The sequence below is a fragment of the Homo sapiens genome, chromosome 1 (assembly GCF_000001405.40).
Source record: "Homo sapiens chromosome 1, GRCh38.p14 Primary Assembly".
NCBI lineage: Eukaryota > Metazoa > Chordata > Mammalia > Primates > Hominidae > Homo > Homo sapiens.
In genome coordinates, this window is record NC_000001.11 from 211,619,615 (window position 1) to 211,639,807 (window position 20,193).

At 49.1% G+C, this 20,193-nt stretch overlaps 2 annotated features.

Moving 5' to 3' along the window:
- Nucleotides 1,380–1,880: an enhancer, noted in NCBI's record as "H3K4me1 hESC enhancer chr1:211794336-211794836 (GRCh37/hg19 assembly coordinates)". NCBI's record gives its function as "activates a minimal SCP1, AML or CMV promoter by ChIP-STARR-seq in naive H9 embryonic stem cells {active_cell/tissue: H9 hESC(naive)}" and the evidence as "EXISTENCE:reporter gene assay evidence [ECO:0000049][PMID:30033119]".
- Nucleotides 12,739–13,314: an enhancer, noted in NCBI's record as "H3K4me1 hESC enhancer chr1:211805695-211806270 (GRCh37/hg19 assembly coordinates)". NCBI's record gives its function as "activates a minimal SCP1, AML or CMV promoter by ChIP-STARR-seq in primed H9 embryonic stem cells {active_cell/tissue: H9 hESC(primed)}" and the evidence as "EXISTENCE:reporter gene assay evidence [ECO:0000049][PMID:30033119]".

Consider the following 20,193-nt stretch of genomic DNA (forward strand, 5'->3'; position numbering starts at 1 on the left):
CTCTCAGCTTCAAGGCAACGTCCTGCCTGCAGGCCAGTGTCCCTGTTGGAGCCTGTCAGGGACTCAAAGTCCTGACAAAGCTCAAAGGCGAATGTCTCCTATATCTGGAGAGGCTGAAACTGCCCTCACCAACAACAGTGAGACGTATGCTCTGTTCACACTGGCGGCTTGGGGCCTGGGGTCAGCTTCACAGAGTCCCACAGGGTCCCACAGGCAGTGACTACACAGTGCACTTGTGTGCACCTGCAGGCACACGCACATTCTTGGGATGGAAGTCAGAGGCAGAAGGCAAAGGCCGGAAGCCATCAGTCCCTTTAGCCACAAAGGATCCACTCTCTAGGCAATTGGAGAAAGAGCTCCAGAATGCTGGACCTTCCGGAAACAGTCTCTGCATCCCACCAACCGTGGCTCCAGGAGAGCACCAGGATCAACTGCAAGGGGACTTTGTGGGGAACACAGGGCCCAGCAGGTTGGGGAATCTCCTCACACACTCACACTCACTGTATATACACCCATTCACACCTACCCACACTCACCACACACAGGCTCACCTCCACACACTGCCGCACATAGGTCATGCACATACTGCAGACACCAGCACGTGTGTTCACACACACACACCCCATGCTCACATATGTTCTCATGCATACATTCACACATACACACACACACGCACACACCCACACACACATTCACACACAACCCCACACTGGCTCACACACATGGCACACATACACATTCACAGTCACTCATGCAGACTCAGCACAGGTTTGAGCCAAGGAGTGGCATAGAGACAAGACCTTGTTCATTTATAGTTTCTGTGAGCGTGGGGGAAGTAGGGCTCTGCCCCCTCCCGCCCTTGGAGGTGTTCAAGACAAAGGGATGCAGAGAAATACCCAGGAGGGCTTCCCCACACCAGCAGGGAGGCACCCAGCCTTGGTGGGCTGGCCTGGGCCACCTCCAGAAAGGTCTCAGGAGCTGCCTTTCTCCCCGTTTGTCCGAGGATGAACTGGGCCTTCACTGCTGCTCCTGCCCCTGGGGCTCAGGTCGGGGCTGGACACCACCACAGTCACCCCCCGGTCACGGCTTCTTGGAATTGCTGGGGAAGGGGAGGTGGCACTGGGGAAGGGGAAACACCGATTTCTCAAGGGCTTATGAAAAGCACATAAATGGAAAGAGCTTCTCAAGTTGCTGCTCTTTTCTTGAAGACAATTCTGTCTTCACCACAAGGTCTCTGGGAGCCATATCCCTGTGTCCCCTTTATGGTCAGTCCTGCCCCCACCCCAATATGAGCCCGAGGAAGGTCTTCCCGCCTAATCAGCCAGAGACCCTGAGCCCCCAAGAGGTTTGCCACAGGAAGCCTACCTACCCACCTTCCTGGGGCCTCCCAAGACCCCCTCCCCCGCCCCCGCCACCCCATAAGCACAATGTTGTAAGCTTTGGGTGAGGTTGGGGGCTCTGGAACCAGGAGCAGGAGGTGCTCCTGGGCTGGCTGTGAGGCAGCTGGGCCTCCGGGTCCTGGCATCCACCCTCCAGACCATTTATTTCCTCAAGCTCCTTCCCAGGCAACTCATCCATCTGGGCATGCCCAAGCCACCCTGCGTTCAGGCCCCCCTGCGCTCAGGCCCAGCAGCCATGGCCCTACAAATAGGACCTATGTATTTTGTATGGTCCCTGGATGTTCACAGGGCCACAGCCCTAGCCTCGGATCCCCCATGTCTGGGCCCATCCGCCCATTGTTCCTGCCTGACTGTGTTCTTGCCAAGAGCTGCCACAGGGAGCCAGTCGGAGGAGGTTCCGATAGCTTCTTCATGCATCCTGGAGGAAGCCAGTTCCGCTTCTGGATTCCCGGCCACGACTTCCCAGAACTCAGCATCTACACCTCCAGCCCAGCCCTGCTGCACAAGAGCATGGCTAAGAGAGGACTGATGACTTCTCAGAGAAGGGCCTCCCCACCTCCTGGGAAGCAAATGGGAGAACCTATGCTCTGACAGGCCAGTTGCTTCTGACAGGAGAAAGGGGGAATTCCAGTGTCACCCATCATTGGCCAGTGACTTCACAGATCAGTTTGGCTCCGGGACCGTGCCTGGCAGAACGCCCTGATGAAGCCCAAGCCTCCTCTGTGCTTGCCATAGCCTCAGCCTCAGAACAGGCAGCACAGACTTTAGGCCCTGGCCCCAATGTTAACATGTGTTTTTCTTTCTTTAACCCTATAATGGATCAGCAGCAACTCCTTGCACCCTGGAGCCTCCCTTCACCCACCCTCCACCCCTTTACTCCTGCTGCCCTCACCCTCTTGGGCTGGCTGTCTGGGCTGGTTGTTAATGAGACTTTGCATTTCTCATGCTCACTTTGATCCCAATTTTAACCAGTCCAGCCCTCCCCAGTGGGGTCCCCGGGTCTGGAGTCAACTCCTCCCTAGGGTGAGTCTATGGAAGAAGTAGGAAGGCTGCAGAGAATTCGGGTCTCTCTTTGCTTGCCATGGGTCTCAAACTCTTATTGGGATTCTGTGATACTTAGGGAGTTGGCAATGGGTCCCTTCAGAGTGCAGAAGCGGGGCATGTCCCACCATGCTAGGCAATGCTACTTATTCATTCATTCACTCATTCATACAACCAACAAATATCTACTGAGTGCCAACCTAAGGAGGCAGTAGTCTAATGTGGGGACAGGCCCACAAACAGAGATCAAATTCAATGGAAGCACATGGTTAAGGAAGGTAAGACCCTGCTGCTTATTCCTGGAGAAATGTCAAATAATTTACTTACAGTCTCCCAGACTGTAAACTCCTGGAAGGTGGGCACCATATCTAATTTTTTGTTTCCAGAGCCTAGCACTACGTCTAACACACAGGATTTCCTTAATAAAGGATTGATGAACTGGGCATGGTGGCACATGCCTCTAGTTGCAGCTACTTGGGAGGCTGAGGCAGGAGGATTTCTTTTTCTTTTTCTTTTTCTTTTTTTTTTAAGACGGAATTTTGCTCTTGTTGCCCAGGCTGGAGTGCAGTGGTGCGATCTCAGCTCACTGCAACCCCTGCCTCCTGGGTTCAAGCAATTCTCCTGCCTCAGCCTCCTGAGTAGCTGGGATTACAGGCCCGTGCCACCATGCTCGGCTATTTTTTGTATTTTTAGTAGAGATGGGGTTTCATCATATTGGCCAGGCTGGTCTCCAACTCCTGACCTCAGGGGACCCACCTGCCTTGGCCTCCCAAAGTGCTGGGATTACAGGTATGAGCCACCACGCCCGGCCTGCAGGAAGATTTCTTGAGGTTAGTAGTTCGAGGCTGCAGTGAGGTATGATTATACTTGGAGCCACTCATAGCAAGACCACATCTGTAGAAAAAAAAGATTGATGGCTGGCTGAACGAATGAATGCATGAACTAATGAAAGTATTGAAGTTGTAGACCCATGGGCCATGCCCTCTGGAAGGAGGCCTCCATCTCCGGAAGGGCAGATAAGTACACTCCTGCCCACCCTCCTTTTAAAAAATGATTGAGTACAGAATTACAGGTTTTCACACTTTACAAGGGAGAAGGTTGGATGCTAAGAAACTCCAGGCAAAAGTGAGGGTTTGTAGCTGTTGGAGAGAGAAGAGGCAATGGTGGCCTTGGTGTTTATTTAAATGTGAATGGAGTGTGAGCAGGATGGGCAGTGAGCTTGGGGTAACTCACATTCTCATGCTCCTCCAAAACCTTTCAGAAGAATGCCGTTTGGTCATGGTCTTTCTTATCCTTCCAGCAGCCCCCGGCACACCTCTACATCATCTGTGAGTGTGTGCATGTGTAAATATATCAACCATCACAAAACTCAGTTCAGTTCTATTTAACCCAAGAGTTATCAAACTTTTACCAAGGGCCTACTTGTGATAAATATATCAATAAGACACAGTCATGGTTCTCAAGCCCCTGCTCACAGCCTAGTGGGTCTGGCAGACAAGAAGCCAAAATGTTAAGTACAGGGTGGTCCAATGCTCAGCAAATCTGATCTGTCAGAATAGAGTCTATTGAGAAATGGAAAGCCCCATGAGGACGGGCGCTTGTCAACCTCATATTTCCAGCCCAGGCAAAGCACCCCACAGAGACAGAGTACAGGCTCAATGAGAGTAGCTTAAACAAATGAGTACTGAGTGTGAGCTGATTTCAAAGAACCAAAGGAAATAGTCAAATCAAGATAAGAACCAGAACAACTGGCCCCAAAGGAAATGAAGCTAATTCAAGGAACTCTATGATAATTTTAATTTGTAACTTCAGAGCAACCGAAGAAGATATGAATGGAGGCTATAAACCAAAAGCAGGTTGATGTGGAATAGGAACAATTAAAGAAGAAGAAAGTTTCTTGGAAATTAAAAGTATAATCGCTAAAATGAAAGATTTACTACAAGGGCTAGAAGAAAAAGGTCAATCAATCTCCCAGAATATAAGCCAAGAAGACAGAAATGGAGACAGAGAATCAACCTAAGAAGCCCAAACTCCAACAGAGAAAATAAAAGAGAAGAAGTTATCAAAGAAATAATGAAAGAAAGTTTTCCAAATCTGAGAAAGGACTGAAACCTTCCAGTTTGAAGGGGTCCATCCAACAAATACCATGAAAGAAAAATGGGTGGGGGGAAAGCCCACGTCATAGGTATATCTTCATTAAATCACTGGGGTCTTCATATGCAAATACAAATGCTATTTTGTCCACAGACCATTAGCAGCTCCCATCTGCCATACTTCTTGTGGTGGACAGTGTCCTGAGCCATTCTAGCCCAACAATAAGCTTTGTGGGCATCTCTGTCTACATGAAAGAGCAGACATATGCTTGTATAGACATCATCCCTCACCTGACTTGGTTTTTTCTAAGGGCAATAAAGCAAATAGGCTGCAGTTTGCTTATCTATTTATACTCATATTGTCATTTCCCTTGCAACTGTCCCCCCAACACTAAGTAACTTTCCATAACCTTCTTCTGAGAGGTTAAAAACATGGACTCTGGGCCGGGCGCGGTGGCTCACGCCTGTAATCTCAGCACTTTGGGAGGCCGAGGCGGGCGGATCACGAGACCATCCTGGCTAACACGGTGAAACCCCGTCTCTACTAAAAAAACAAAAAATTAGCCAGGCGCGGTCGCAGGTGCCTGTAGTCCCAGCTACTCGGGAGGCTGAGGCAGGAGAATGGCACGAACCTGGGAGGCGGAGCTTGCAGTGAGCCAAGATCGCGCCACTGCCCTCCGGCCTGGGCAACAGAGAGAAACTCCATCTCAAAAACAAAACAAAAACAAAACAAAACAAAACAAAAAAACATGGACTCTGCAGCCACACTGTCTGGGTCTGAATCCTGTCTCTGCCTTTTACTAGCTTGGGCAAGTTATTTAACTTCTCTGTGCTTCAGTTTTCTCATCTATAAAATGAGAATGAAAATAGTACCTACATCTGAAGGTCACTGTGAGGATTCAATCATTAATGTCTTAAGTGCTTATAACAGCCCCTGTTCTAAAAATAAGCACTAGATGAGTGACTATTATTACTTAAAGGCAAATAAGTAACCAATAGAAGAATTGCAAAATATCATCAAAATAGTCAGGTGAATGGAGGAGTGCGGTGGGGAGTGAGCAGTGCTGGAGATGAGCTAGGTTCCTGGTCTTCCAAGCCATGGCATTGGTGCCCCCTGTGGATGACAGACCAATATGTGCTGCTTTAAGTGCACCATTTGTAGCTATGGAAGGGATCTTCAGTAGAACTAAAACCAGAAAAGATGATTCCCTCTGGAGGTGGGACTCAGGGTGCCGGGGGAAGATTTCTCATTTTAGGCCCTCTGTGCTGTTTGATTTTCATATATATATATATATATATATGTATAAAATAAACACACACACACACACACATATATATATATATATATAACTTGTATGCTTTAAAGACAAGTAGTCTTTCAGTTTTAAAGAAGTTGCTAACAAAGCCTTCCAGGGCCAGTTGTATGCTGCAGCGGGCTCCCATCGGCTCATGATTTGAAAATCCATGGGCCGTGGTGGAAGTATTTACACCAAGGGACTTAGCAAATGCTACAAGTCAGGGCTTTCTATACAGAGACTTGGTTTCTCAGCACGTCACTAGAAAAGCCAGTTATCCCTATGGTAACTTAATCTTTTTGACACCTCCTGCTTAAAACTCCAAAGATCATTCAACCATTGTGGAAGTCAGTGTGGCGATTCCTCAGGGATCTAGAACTAGAAATACCATTTGACCCAGCCATCCCATTACTGGGTATATACCCAAAGGACTATAAATCATGCTGCTATAAAGACACATGCACACGTATGTTTATTGCAGCATTATTCACAATAGCAAAGACTTGGAACCAACCCAAATGTCCAACAATGATAGACTGGATTAAAAAAATGTGGCACATATACACCGTGGAATACTATGCAGCCATAAAAATGATGAGTTCACATCCTTTGTAGGGACAAGGATGAAATTGGAAATCATCATTCTCAGTAAACTATCGCAAGAACAAAAAACCAAACACCGCATATTCTCACTCATAGGTGGGAATTGAACAATGAGAACACATGGACACATCCTTGTAGGGACAAGGACGAAATTGGAAATCATCATTCTCAGTAAACTATCGCAAGAACAAAAAACCAAACACCGCATATTCTCACTCATAGGTGGGAATTGAACAATGAGAACACATGAACACAGGAAGGGGAACATCACACTCTGGGGACTGTTGTGGGGTGGGGGGATGGGGGAGGGATAGCATTGGGAGATATACCTAATGCTAGATGATGAGTTAGTGGGTGCAGCGCACCAGCATGGCACATGTATACATATGTAACTAACCTGCACATTGTGCACATGTACCCTAAAACTTAAAGTATAATAATAAATAATAATAATAATAACAATAAATAAATAAATAAATAAAAATAATTTTTAAAAAAACTCCAAAGATCAGAAGGATGGTGAGCCCCTCTCATGGTCTGTGTTCATCCTGAAACTCAAGTGGACATAAAATTTCATCTTCTGCTCTTCAAGGTGCTTCTGGTCAGCCTGAACTCCTGAGAATTCTGGCATGGCCAATTGAGCCAAGGTGCCATCCTACTGACATTCTGCTCCTGTCATAGTAACAGAGATTTGGGACACTGGGTGCCATTTACTCATTTATCCAAAATACACATATTGAGTATCTATCACATGTCAGGTGCACTAGACCAAGGGAGCCCTAGTCCCAGCCACGAACCCCTTAGGGCTGCCTTCTGCCTCATTGATAGAGCAAAGGCCTGAGAAACTTCGTAGCAGCTGGAAAGTGATGCTGCCTCCGGAACATCGGAATCACCTGGGCTTGTTAAACGCAGATGGCTGGGCCCTACCTCACCTCCCACCCTCAGTTTCTGAATCGGTAGAAATCACAGGTGGGGCCAGAAAATGTTACATTTCTCACAAGTTTCCAGGTAATGGTGATGCTGCTGGTTTGGGGACTGCACTTTAAGAACTACCAGTTCTAGAAATTCCAAACCAGACTGTGATCCTCCAAGGCAGGAGAGAACAATGAGGGGAGGTTTGTGTTTCTACCCTTGAGCTAATTTACTTAATTACTGTCTCGGCTTAATTACTGCCCTTAGCCAGTGAAAGGATTGGTTGAGAGCAGTTCCTTGATGTGGACTACAAACACACTTGTGAAAATGCACACACATTTGCATTTACTCACAGGCAATTCCAGTCTTCAGCGATAATCCCTCCAGGTCTTTAGCACTGTGGTTAAGTGTGTGAGGCCTGCAGTCTCAAACCCTAAACTTCAGTCCCAGCCCTGTCACTTGCCAGCTGTCAGACTCTGGGCAAATCCTCCACTCTCTCTGAGCTGTCATTTCTTCAACTGTAGGCTAATAATAGTATCAAACTCACAGGACTGTTCTGGGGCATCTGCTGAAGGGGGCGATGCATGGAAAGCGCTCGGTACTCAGAACATGTCCAGCACCTGGAGGCCAGCATTAGCCTTGACAGAAATAACAGTACTGCTGCTACTGATTTGTGTTTCTAACTAAATATTAATATTTGTACTAGAGGTAGTTTGGCGGGGGCGGTGTTCTCGTTTTTTTGTGTTAATTTTTTTTTCTTTTGAGATGGAGTCTCGCTCTGTTGCCCAGGCTGGAGTGCACTGGCACGATCTCGGCTCACTGCAACCTCCACCTCCCGAGTTCAAGCGATTCTCCTGCCTTAGCCTCCTGAATAGCTGGGATTACAAGTGCCCACCACAATGCCCGGCTAATTTTTGTATTTTTAGTAGAGACAGGTTTCGCCATGTTGGCCAGGCTGGTCTCGAACTCCTGACCTCGTGATCTGCCCACCTCGGCCTTACAAAGTGCTGCTGGGATTATAGGCATAAGCCACCACACCCGGCTGGTGTTCTGTTTTTAATGTGTGCTCTGTGTCTGTCACCAGACTAGTATTTGGGGGCTAGGGCAGTCACCTTCTTCCTTCCTCTGTGTCCTCTGTGTTCTCAATCCAGTGCATGAGATAGAAGGAACAGAGAAAACTTGGAGAACTCAGTTGTTCTAGGTCCATGCTGCAAATGCAGAAGGAGTTAAGAATTACAGAGATGTCTCAGAAATTTCCTTTCTCTAAAATAGCTATTTTTTTAAAAAAAGGATGGGAGAAATTTAGTTTGTATATGTTTGTGTATTTTTTACTGTCTGCTCCCACTCACCATGTATACTGTCAAAAGAGGTTTTAAAATGTGTGTTGTAAATTCCATGTGGTCAAGGGCTATGTCTGTCCCATGTGCCACTGAATCCCCAATGTCAAGCACATTGCCTGGCACAGGACTGGCATTCAATGTATGCTGGGTGGCTTGAATGAATACTGACCCAAGGGAAGGGACTAGACACAGAAGCTTCAGGAAGAAAAGAATGAATTATGAATACTTGAAACTGGATTTCTCCAGCTGGTGACGAGGTGGTCCTGAAAGAAAGAGCTGAAGCAGTAGCTAAGAGCAACGGGTGTGGGCACTTGCTGGCAGGTGGTCTGTAATCCTGAGCTAAGTCAGGACCTCCCAGTGAAAGCAATCACAGCTGCTGATGGCCCAAGGCCCGGTGGAACCACTCCTCCTTCCCACAAATGCCATTTCTGTCTTCGCTGTTGCTGTTTCCTGGATCTAGGATTGCCAGATTTAGCAAATCAAAATGCAGAATGTCCAGTTAAATTTAAATTTCAGATAAATGATGAACACCTTTTTAGTATAAGCATGTCTCATGCAATATTTGGGACATGTACTAAAATTGTTTTACTGTTCATCTGAAGTTTAAATTTAACTGGGTGTTCTGTATTTCTTCTGGCGACTCTGCCTGGGCCCAGAGTACCCTCTTCAACTTGTCCACTGGGGGAACTTCTCCTCCTTTCAGGAGCTTCCTCTAATACTCCACTCCACCCTAGGCAGAACTCACCATTCTAGCCTGTGCTCCACCTCATACCTGGTCATCACGCACAGATGGCCATCTCCCTCCTATGGCCCCCTCTGCATCCCCTGCCTGTGGGTAAACCTGTCACTTAACACCCCAGAACATAGAAGGGTGAGTGTTGAGAAAAGGGATGGGAAAAAGTCAGAAACATACATAGAGGATAAAGAGAGCAAGTCTTAGACTTTGTAGGTATGTCCTACCTTTCATGGGTGAAAGGCACTCTAGCACTTGATTTCCTTACATGATTCTTTGTAGATTCTCTGAATGGTGAAAAAGGGAAGATGGCTTACCAAAATCCAATGGCAACTTTCTTCCCTAGCAACTCAAGCCGTCCTTCAAGTTTATGTCATCCCATACCTATAAGCATTCTCTACCCTATGATGATCTGAACCTCCTGAACGATTTGATTAAGCAGAAGTACTCTCAGTGGGCACAAAATAGTAGAAAGAATGAATAAAATCTAGTATTTGATAGCACAACAGGGTGACGACTGTAGTCATTAAGAATTTAATTGTAGATTTTAAAATAACTAAAAGCGTATAATTGGCTTGTTTGTAACACAAAGGATAAACGCGACGGGATGCATCCCCATCCACGATTATTACACATGTATGCCTGGATCAAAATTTATCATATACCCCATAAATATATACACCAACTATGTACCCACAAAAGTTAAAAAATAAAAATTAGGCCAGGCACGGTTGCTCACTCCTGCAACCCCAGCACTTTGGGAGGCCGAGGCAGGCAGATCATTTGAGATCAGCAATTCGAGACCAGCCTGGCCAACATAGTGAAACCCCATCTCTACAGAAAATACAAAAATTAGCCGGGCATGGTGGCACACACCTGTAGTCCCAACTACTTGGGAGGCTGAGGCACGAGAATCACTTGAACCTGGGAGACAGAGGCTGCAGTGAGCCAAGATCGTGCCACTGCACTCCAGCCAGGGAACTCTGTCTCAAAAAATAAAATTAAATTAAATTAAATTAAAATTAAAAAAAAAGAAATGCACTCAATGGAAAGAAGAAGATGGCCAAGGACATAAATCTCAAATGGCTTTGTCATAAGAGAATTTGGGAAGTAGGGGAGTAGCTGATGGGGAGACCACGGGCTGTGCCCATTCTCACACCTTCAGAATCCTGGAGGGAGTCGTGTGGCCACAGGCTATCCTTCTCAACGGGTTTCACAGGCTTTTCATAGGCAGCAGGCATTACTGGGATGTGTTCCTGCAGATAGAGGGCTCCAGGCGCCCTCCCCACACTGCCTCTCTCATGAGTTACCGCCTCCGGAAGGATAACAAGGCTACAGTATCGCCACTGTAGGGGGCCCTCCCGGGACGGGGAGGCTGTCAGCTTATCTCCACAGCCCTGGTGCCACACACTGCATCCACAACTAATGGCCAAGAAGCCAGCATGTGACCAAGCCGCCTCACCTCTGCACTGGGCAGCTCCTAGAGGACCCAGCAGCCAGGCTTCCTGGCCACAGGCCAGCCCCAGGACCTTCTCCGTGCCCGGTCGACATCGCTGAGGTTGCCCCCCTCAGCCCCGGGCTACTGTGGAGCTGGAGGGAGTTTCCAGAAGCAACCCCAGTCAGAGAACTGACTCCAAAGCCCCCTGCACACCCAGGTCCCCGTACCTCCTCAACCCTGCCCAGCCATTGACCCTGTTCCTTTGGCTGCCAGGGCTCTGTGTACCCCCACCCCACCCCAGCTGAGAATCCAGAGCAAGGCCCTTCTAGACCAGTGATCTCAGCTGCCCAGGCTTCAACCAGGGGATTGCTGGGTTTGGACCCAGTGGAGGATGCAGCTAAAAAGGGGGCCCTCCAGAGGCATTGGGGAATGGGGAGGGAGTCAAAATGATCTTCCTGGCCCAGAGCCAGAGAAGTCCCATAAATGTCTGTGGGGGTGGAGCATGGCTGGAGGGCAAGGAGAAGAGAGTGGAGGGGGTGAGATAAGATGACTCTGTGATGTACTTACATGCCGACGTTCCCCAGCAGTGCCAAGTGTGTAAGGCGTTGCTCTCAGAGCTACTATAATTATATCCCAAATGGAAATAATAATAATAATTCCCTGATACATGTTGCCACTAGAGCCAGGCTGTTGAAAGAGTGGGAAGAGGGAAAGAAACTCCCTTTCTTCCAGAACAGCCTGTCATGCTCCCAGATCGTTATTCCTAGGCCCGGTCAGACCCAGCTTCTTTCATACTGATTCCCCCACTCCAATTCAGGAGACTTTCAGGGTGCAGGGGTAGGGGTGACAAGAAAGGAAGTTATCTACACCGGTCTAAGCACTCGCTGGCGGATCCAGAGGCAGGGGGCAGGGTCTCTGGCCCCATCAGGAGAGGGAGCTGTGAACTAAGCCCTTTGTGCTTTTTCTTGATCTTCCTTGGGACAGGGCTGGCTGGGTTGTGGCTACTGCCTGTGACTCCAAATCAGAGGAGGCAACTCTCGCCCATAAGTATGGACCCCAGCCTCATCTTCTACCTCCTCTTATCCTCTCCTAACCCCAGACAGACAGCCAATGTCGAGAAGAGAAGCAGAGGAGGCTAAGTGGAGACAGCAGGCAGACCCTTGTCCCGACCCCTTAGTGACTGTCCTTACTCCTGGGTTGGGATGTCGAGGCAGAGGCCAGGAAGCCCTGGGAAGACACACACACATAAAATGGAAGTCAGCATCAAACCCTTGACTTTTGATCCATCTCCCACGGCCAAGGCTCCTTGTAACTGAGATGGGCAAGGGAAATGGAAGATTAAGAGAGGGAGGGGCTAGGCATTGTGGCTCACCTCTGTAATCCCAATACTTTGGGAGGCCAAGATAGAAGGATTACTTGAGCCTAGGAGTTCGAGATCAGCCTGGGCAATGTGGAGAAACCTCATCTCTACAAAAATTAGCTGGGCATGGTGGTGCACACCTGTAGTCCCAGCTACTTGGGAGGCTGAAGTGGGAGGATTGCTTGAGCCCAGGAGGTTGAGGCTGCAGTGAGCCAAGATCATGCCACTGCACTCTAGCCTGGGAGACAGAACAAGACTCTATCTCAAAAAAAAATGAGAGGAATGACCTCCAATGCCCTGATGGAGAGAGAGGAGGTAACCGCGCAGACTACTGAGTTTCCGCTGCTGAGCTCATTGGCAAATTTTGACCTTGGCCTTGGCAGACATGCCTGCTGTGGGCAGTGGGGCCTGTGGACAGAGGAGGGCAGGAACAATAGTTTATAGCTTTGTTTTGTGGGAGGAAGCAGCATTGGGCCCAGTTCCTGGAGACTGTCCAGTGAGCTAATAGCTGGGGCACATTGTTGGCTTCAGGGTAAAAGCACAACAGAGGTTTCTGTGTGGGCCCACCACAGAAACCACCGATAGTGCCCCATATACAGCTCTACAACCACATTCTCGCCCAAGCTCCACACAGTCCCCCGGGGCCTTGCTCAGAAAGGCCACTGCCAAGCAACGCATCTAAGCGCAGTGTGCTTTTGAGGCTTGGAAATTCATGGTGGCAGCTCTGCCACCCGCAGCCAGGCTGGTGGCTGCCGAGGCCTAGAAAGGACAGGGCATCCACCAGGCTAGGATGGGAAGGCTGTGAGTAGGGGTGAGCCAGGAGTCAAGGTTGGAGGAGCTGCTCCAGGCTGCGGTGGGATCAAAGCTACCATAGCCCCCCGACATCCCCGACCTGGCTGCTGGTCAGTAGAGGCTAAAGGAGGCTGCCCGACATCGCCTTCCTGTTCCTCCTCCTATGGAATTCCCCTCGGCAAGGGCCACCAACAGCACAGCCACCCCGTGCAGGGGGCACTGCCAGACAAAAGCGCTAATGGCTGCAAGCAGAAGTTGCTGCCAGTGGAGTCTTGTGCCAAGATAGGTACTGGCAGCCGAGGTACCCTTGGGCCACACCCTGTGCAGTGGGGATTGTGGGTATACCATCCCAAGCTGTGAGTTTTCTGTGGTTTTCCCTAAGAAACCACAGGCTCTGTTACAGGCCTGGGATTTTTTCCCCTCCTGCTGCAGAGTCATGCGTCAGAGGGGGTTCTCTGAAAGCCATCTCTCCCACCCCACCCAGAGGGAGCCATGTGGCCTGGTCCCGGAGGAAGACAGTGAGGGGGCAGGCTTCGTCGGGCTGTGCTCCGAGGCACGGGCCTGTATCTGTGGCTGGACAGGAGAGAAGGTCTCCGCTGGCAGCTCACTCAGCCCCGCAGCTCCTCTCTCCCCACATGGGAAATGCAGCCAAGGCCACAGGCCTGTGCCTGGCTGGAGAACGCTCAGTGTTGGCAGCATGCTTGAGAAGCTTGGGCTGTTCCCCTCACCTCTGTCTTGGGAAGCTTCCAGGGGAAGCTGTCTCTGGGGGAAGGGCTCCACAGACTGTGCAGTTGGGTTCAGAAGGTGCAGAGCTCAGCCACTGGGAGCTGGTGTCTCAGCCCAGCCACTTCCTACGTGTGAAACTTGGGTGAGCCACCTGGCCTCATCAGGTCCCAGCTTTGTCAGCTGTGGATTGGGGAATGTCAGCCTGCACGGATTAACTAAAACCATACCTATAAAGCAGCCCTTAGTGCCTTGGCAGCACATAGGGAGGGGCAGGAGGAGGGAGATGAAGAGATGAACTCAGACAGGTCAGGAGGTCAGTGGGTGGAGACTAGAGCCAGAAGGAGAAGCAGGAGAGACCGCGAGCAGGAGAATGCAAGAGCTGGGAGATGCGGAGCACACGGGAAGCGAGGCAGATGGGACGATCTTTCACGGCAGTCATCATTCATTCATTCACTCATTTAACACATATGTATTGAATGCCAGCTGTGCAGCAGGCCTTCTGGACACTTGAGTGAATGAGGTAGTGCCCCTGCCCTTGGAGCCAAGGGCTCTGTGATCCACTGGACCCATAGAAGATGGGTAGCTCTTACTTCTGGGTCCCTTTCCCACCTACACACATATCTCCAGGGGAGACTTTTCCTCTGGCATCAATAAATGGAAAACTATTTCACTAAAAAACTGTCATTACATCAACCTCTCCAGTGTCAATGTTTATTCCATGGGCAGTTCCCACGGCAGGGTGAGAGTGAGGCAGCAAGACCACAGGCAGTGTGGCCCCCAGGGCTGCCAACACTTGTCCCTGGAAAGCCTTGTCTCTACTCATAAGGATCTGCTCTTCTCCTGGCTACCCAACTCCCACCCCAAAATGCCCAGGGCCACAGACTGGAGAGCAGAGGGAGGAAACCCTCAGAGATCTAGGAACATGGCAGGAGCAAGAGCCCAAAGCTTGGAGACAAAGGCAGTATGGAAGATTGCGGAGAACCCTGGAGACCAAGACAAGGGTTCTTGGTTGAAATCTGGGCTCTGACACTGACAAGCTGTGTGATCCTGAGTATGTATACTCTCTGAGCCTCAGTTACTTCACTGTCAGATGAAAATCGCATTTCCCATGGTAGCCATAGGAGCTGAAATGTCTGTGAGTGTGCAAGCCCCAGCGTCAGAATCCAGCTCTTTATAAGCAGAATCAAGGGAAAGAAATCTGTATCTTCCTCCCTGAAGACACATGCACAATTAGCTGCTGCCACAGGCATTCAGGAGCCCATTTCCAGGGTGCTCGACCACTGCCAGGCCTAGCAGCCTGGGCTTCCATACTGTAGGCAATAGGGCTGGCCTCAAGAGTTGGAGACCAGCCTGGGCAACATAGTGAAACCCCATCCCTACAAAATTTAAAAATTACCCGGGCGAGGTCACATGCCTGTGGTCCTAGCTTTTAGGAGCAGGGAGGCTGAGCTGGGAGAGTCACTTGAGCCCAAGAAGTCAAGGCTGCAGTGAGCTAGGATGGCACCATACCACTGTACTCTGGCCTGGGCGATGGAGCAAGACTGTCTCAAAATAAATAATAACTATAAGAAGGCTGGCCTAGCTTTTTGTGAGAGTGATTACCACCCTCCCCCAGGCTGCTGAACTTGCATAAAAGAATGGGTTAATATTTTGCCCCCAGGAACCTTAAATCTGCATAGCCCTTTTCAGTTTCAAAGTCTTTTCTCATTCGCTACCAACACCGCAGAGTAGATAGGGTAGGCATTAGTAAACCCATTATACAGATGAGGAAACAGAGGCCCAGAGTTGTTAGAGAGTCCCAGGGTCACTTGGCCAGGGAAGATCCCCAGAGTTGCCATTCAGTTCAGGGCATTTTCTACCAAATTGTGCCGTAGCTCGGAGGAGGATTTCCACATACCAGCCTCTAGCTCATCCATCAGCTGAGGCAGATAGGGACATGTGAGAGCCCTGGGGAGGCTTATAATTTGGTTCTCCATCTCTGCATATCCACACAGCATTTATTCAGAGTCAGTATATGGAAACCCAATTTTTCCTTTCTTTTCTTTTTTTTTTTTTTTTTTTGAAGCAAAGTCTTGTTCTTGTCCCCCAGACTGGAGTGCAATGGTGCAATCTCGGCTCACTACAACTTCCGCCTCCCAGGTTCAAGCGATTCTCCTGCCTTGGCCTTCCGAGTAGCTGGGGTGACAGGTGCCTGCCACCACACCCGGCTAATTTTTGTATTTTTAGTAGAGACGGGGTTTTACCATTTTGGTCAGGCTGGTCTCGAACTGCTGACCTCATGATCCACCCGCCTCAGCCTCCCAAAGTGCTGGGATCACAGGCATGAGCCACTCTGCCTGGCCAATAAAAATCTTTCTTTAAAGGTCAAAATAAGGGATTTATGACATACATCGGGTATAACAAAACATTTTAACCTAATCAAATTTGTCTTTCTTTTCTGTTTTTCCTTCACTCATAAGATTAGTCACTCACATACATCAGGAAAGAAGTAACTCGCAGAGATAGAATTACAAAATATTGCTTTAAAATTGCTACAAAACATACTTTAATTTTTTTTCCAGCATTCACATCAGCAAAATAATTCCCACTTCTCTGTGGTTCTGTTCATTTTTGTTTTCTTCTGTAATTTTTGAAACTGGGCAACTTCTCGGAAGATGCATCATCTAGGCGGCTCATAGCTGTAAGAGACCTAAACCTCAATTCAACAATGAAGAAACTCATTGCTTCACAGATCCACAGATCCACAAATCCAAAGGTTCGTGGATTGCCACCTTCAAAGCACCTCAGTCCAGTGGCCCAGCGATCCATGCAGCCGTGTTCTCCTTCAAGCCTTGCTTCATGCACAAGCTGGCTCATCTCAGAGGAGCAGAATTAAAATTAAAAACAGAATTAGACAGAATTTAGGCTGCAGTGACCAGCCTAAAAAGGTGGAGGTGATGCCCATGTCCATCGATAGACGAATGTATAAACAACATGTGATGTATATGGCCAGGTGTGGTGGTGTGCGCCTGTAGTCCCTGCTGCTCCAGAGGCTGAGGCAGGAGGATCGCTTGTGCCAGGAGTTCAAGACCAGCTTGGGCAACATGGTGAGACCCCATCTCAAAAAAACAAAGAGGTTAAATGATAAATTTTATGTTTTAAATATGTTACCGCAATTTTTTTTAAAATGGCTATAGTAGCCACAGAATTGCCACCACATCCCCCTGAAGAGAAAGACTCTCTTTCAAGGGAAAGGACACTTCTTTTCCAGATACTACTAACAAACCAGCCCTCTCATTAAGGTCACATTCTCTCACTCCTGAATCATCCCTGTGGCCAGGAAGCATGCTCTGCCCTGCTGGGCTCAGGCCCAGGTGCCTGCCCCAATCACTGTAACAAAAGGCCTGTGTTGACCTTTAGACCCATCAGGCCAACCCCAATGGAGGAGTAGAGTCGGCTGGGCGCGGTGGTTCACGCCTGTAATCCCAGCACTTTGGGACGCCGAGGCGGGTGAATCACAAGGTCAGGAGTTCAAGACCAGCCTGGCCAACATAGTGAAACCCCATCTCTACTAAAATACAAAAAATCAGCTGGGTGTGGTGGCGGCCTCCTGTAATCCCAGCTACTCAGGAGGCTGAGGCAGGAGACTCACTTGAACCTGGGAGGCAGAGGTTGCAGTGAGCCGAAATCACACCACTGCACTCCAGCCCAGGACACTGCAAGACTCCGTCTCAAAAAAAAAAAAAAAAAAAAAAAAAGAGGAGTAGAGTCAACTGCCCCTGCACTATCTGGGACAGGGGCTCTAGGGGGAGGCAGAGGAGCATAGGGATGGGGGAGTGGGGCAGAGTGGACACCTGCACAAAAAAAGGAGGCAGTGAGAAGGGGCAGGGACAATGGAAGCTGGTGGGGAAGCAGAGACTGTGGGCCATCTGCCAACATCCGTTCTTCCCTCTTCCTGGACACACAACCAGACCACATCTCCCAGCCTCCTTTGCAATGGAAGGGACCTGGATCCCTAAACAACTGTGCCCAAAACTAGGGCCACTCACTCCACCATTGTTACATAGAAGAGAAATTATCATCTTTAAGCTGCAGCAGGGGTGGGCAAACACTCGCGCTGCCTATTTTTGTAAATAGTATTTTATTGGAATACATCCACGATCATTCATCTACATATTGTCCATGACTACCTTCACTCTACAAGGACCGAGTGGAGCAGTTGAAGCAGAGAAGATATGACCTGCGAAACCTAAACTATTTACTCTCTGGCCCTTTACAGAAAGTTTGCTGGTCCCTGCCCTACATCAGTATTGGATCTCTTTGTTACCACAGCCTAGCCCTCCCTTGGCTAATGCAGTACACAACCAACACTGCTAACAAGAGGAGATACATCGAAGTGGTTTTGTCTTCTTTTTTCTTTCTTTTTTTTTTTTTTAAGATGGAGTCTTGCTTTGTCACCCAGGCTGGAGCACAGTGGCACAATCTCGGCTCACTACAACCTCCATCTCCTGGGTTCAAGTGATTCTCCAGCCTCAGCCTCCCCAGTAGCTAGGACTACAGGCATGCACCACTGCGTCGGGCTAATTTTTGTATTTTTAGTAGAGACGGGGTTTCACCATGCTGGCCAGACTGGTCTCCGGCTCCTGACCTCAGGTGATCCGCCCGCCTTAGCCTCCCAAAATGCCGGGATTACAGGCGTGAGCCACTGTGCCCGGCCTTAATTTTTTTTTTTTAGAGGCAGAGTCTCGCTCTGTCACCCAGCATTCACCAATGGTGCAATCATAGCTCATGGCAGTCTCCAATTCCTGGACTCGAGCGATCCTCCTGCCTCACCCTCCTGAGGAGCTGGGAGTACAGGTGCATGTCACCATGCCCGGCTATTTTTTTTTTGTAGAGACAGAGTGCATAGTGAAAGCTCTCTCTGTGTTTTTTGTCAACTGTCACACCACAACAATCATCAACACAGAAGACTTCTGTGACCAAATATGGAGGGTTTTCCCCCACACACCAAGCAGTAGACCCCAGCCAGTGTCCTCTAATTCAGTCCCAACACAATCTATCCGGAGACAGTGTCAGGCCCCACAGGTTGAGGGCTCAGACCCCCAAGACTGCCCCCTCGCCCCACCACACAAACTAGTTGCAAGGCCAGGCCTCCAGAGCTTTTGACTGACCAGCTTCAAGTTTGGGTTCCCATGGCCCCCTCTTTGGGTTTGATTAATTTGCTGGAGCGGCTCACAGAACTCAGGGAAACACTTATTACATTTACTGGTTTATTACAAAGGATATCGCAGAGGATACAAACGAAGAGGCATGTAAGGCGGGGTATCAGGGAAGGAGTGTGGAGCTGCCATGCCCTCCCTGGGCGCTACACTCCAGGAACCTCCCTGTGTTCAGCTATCCGGATAAAAGCTCCCTGAACCCTGTCCTCTTGAGCTTTTATGGAAGCTTCTTGACATCAGCATTCTTTCCCCCAGGGCATAGGGTGGGACCCTTGCATGGGAGAGTCTTAAAATCCACAATCAGAAAGGCGAGGGAATGTTAGAGTGAAAAGAGCTAGGGAGAAGGTCAGAGGCTGCCCCTGAGGCCTAATGCACCCAACATTCTAACAAAAGACTGAAACAAGGGCTATGGGAGTTATGAGCCAGGAACCCTCTTGGACGAAAACCAATCTATTTCATAACACCACACTGGGTGTCCCTATGTTGCCCAGGCTGGTCTCAAACTGGCCTCAAGCAATCCTCCCGCCTTGGTGTCCCAAAGTGTGGGGATTACAGGCATTAGCCACGGAACTCAACCCATCAAAGTGTTTGTTTTTGTTTTGTTTTGTTTTCGAGACATAGTCTCACTCTGTCACTCAGGCTGGAGTGCAGTGGTGCGATCTCGGCTCACAGCAACCTCTGCCTCCCGGGTTCAAGAGATTCTCCTGCCTCAACCTCCTGAGTAGCTGGAATTACAGGCATGCACCACCATGCCTGGCTAAATTTTGTATTTTTAGTAGAGATGGGGCTTCACCATATTGGTCAGACTGGTCTCGAACTCCTGACCTCGTGATCCATCCACCTCGGCCTCCCAAAGTGCTGGGATTACAGGCGTGAGCCACCACACCCAGCCTCTCAAAGTGTTTTAAATTCAGTTAATAAACCACTTATTCCCTGGAAACAGCTCCTGTCATGGCACAGCCCACTTCAGGAAAAGTTGTACCAGGCAGCCTGTGAGAACATTTTCAATAGAAATGAGTGGACCAGGAACAAATTTTATTCCTACTCAATGGCTGTGTTTTCTTTGGCAGAAGCTAGACCAAGTTTCACATCACAGTTGAGAGGAGACGTGCATAGGAACTGCGTCATCTGGTTCCACACTCGCTCCAGTGATGTTTGAGCCCCAGCATAGATCAGCATGCCAGGAAGCAGCCCACCGGACCCACCCCTGATCATGGCACTGGACATTGTTTTCCGTGCTTTTCTCAGGCTGGTTTCTGCCT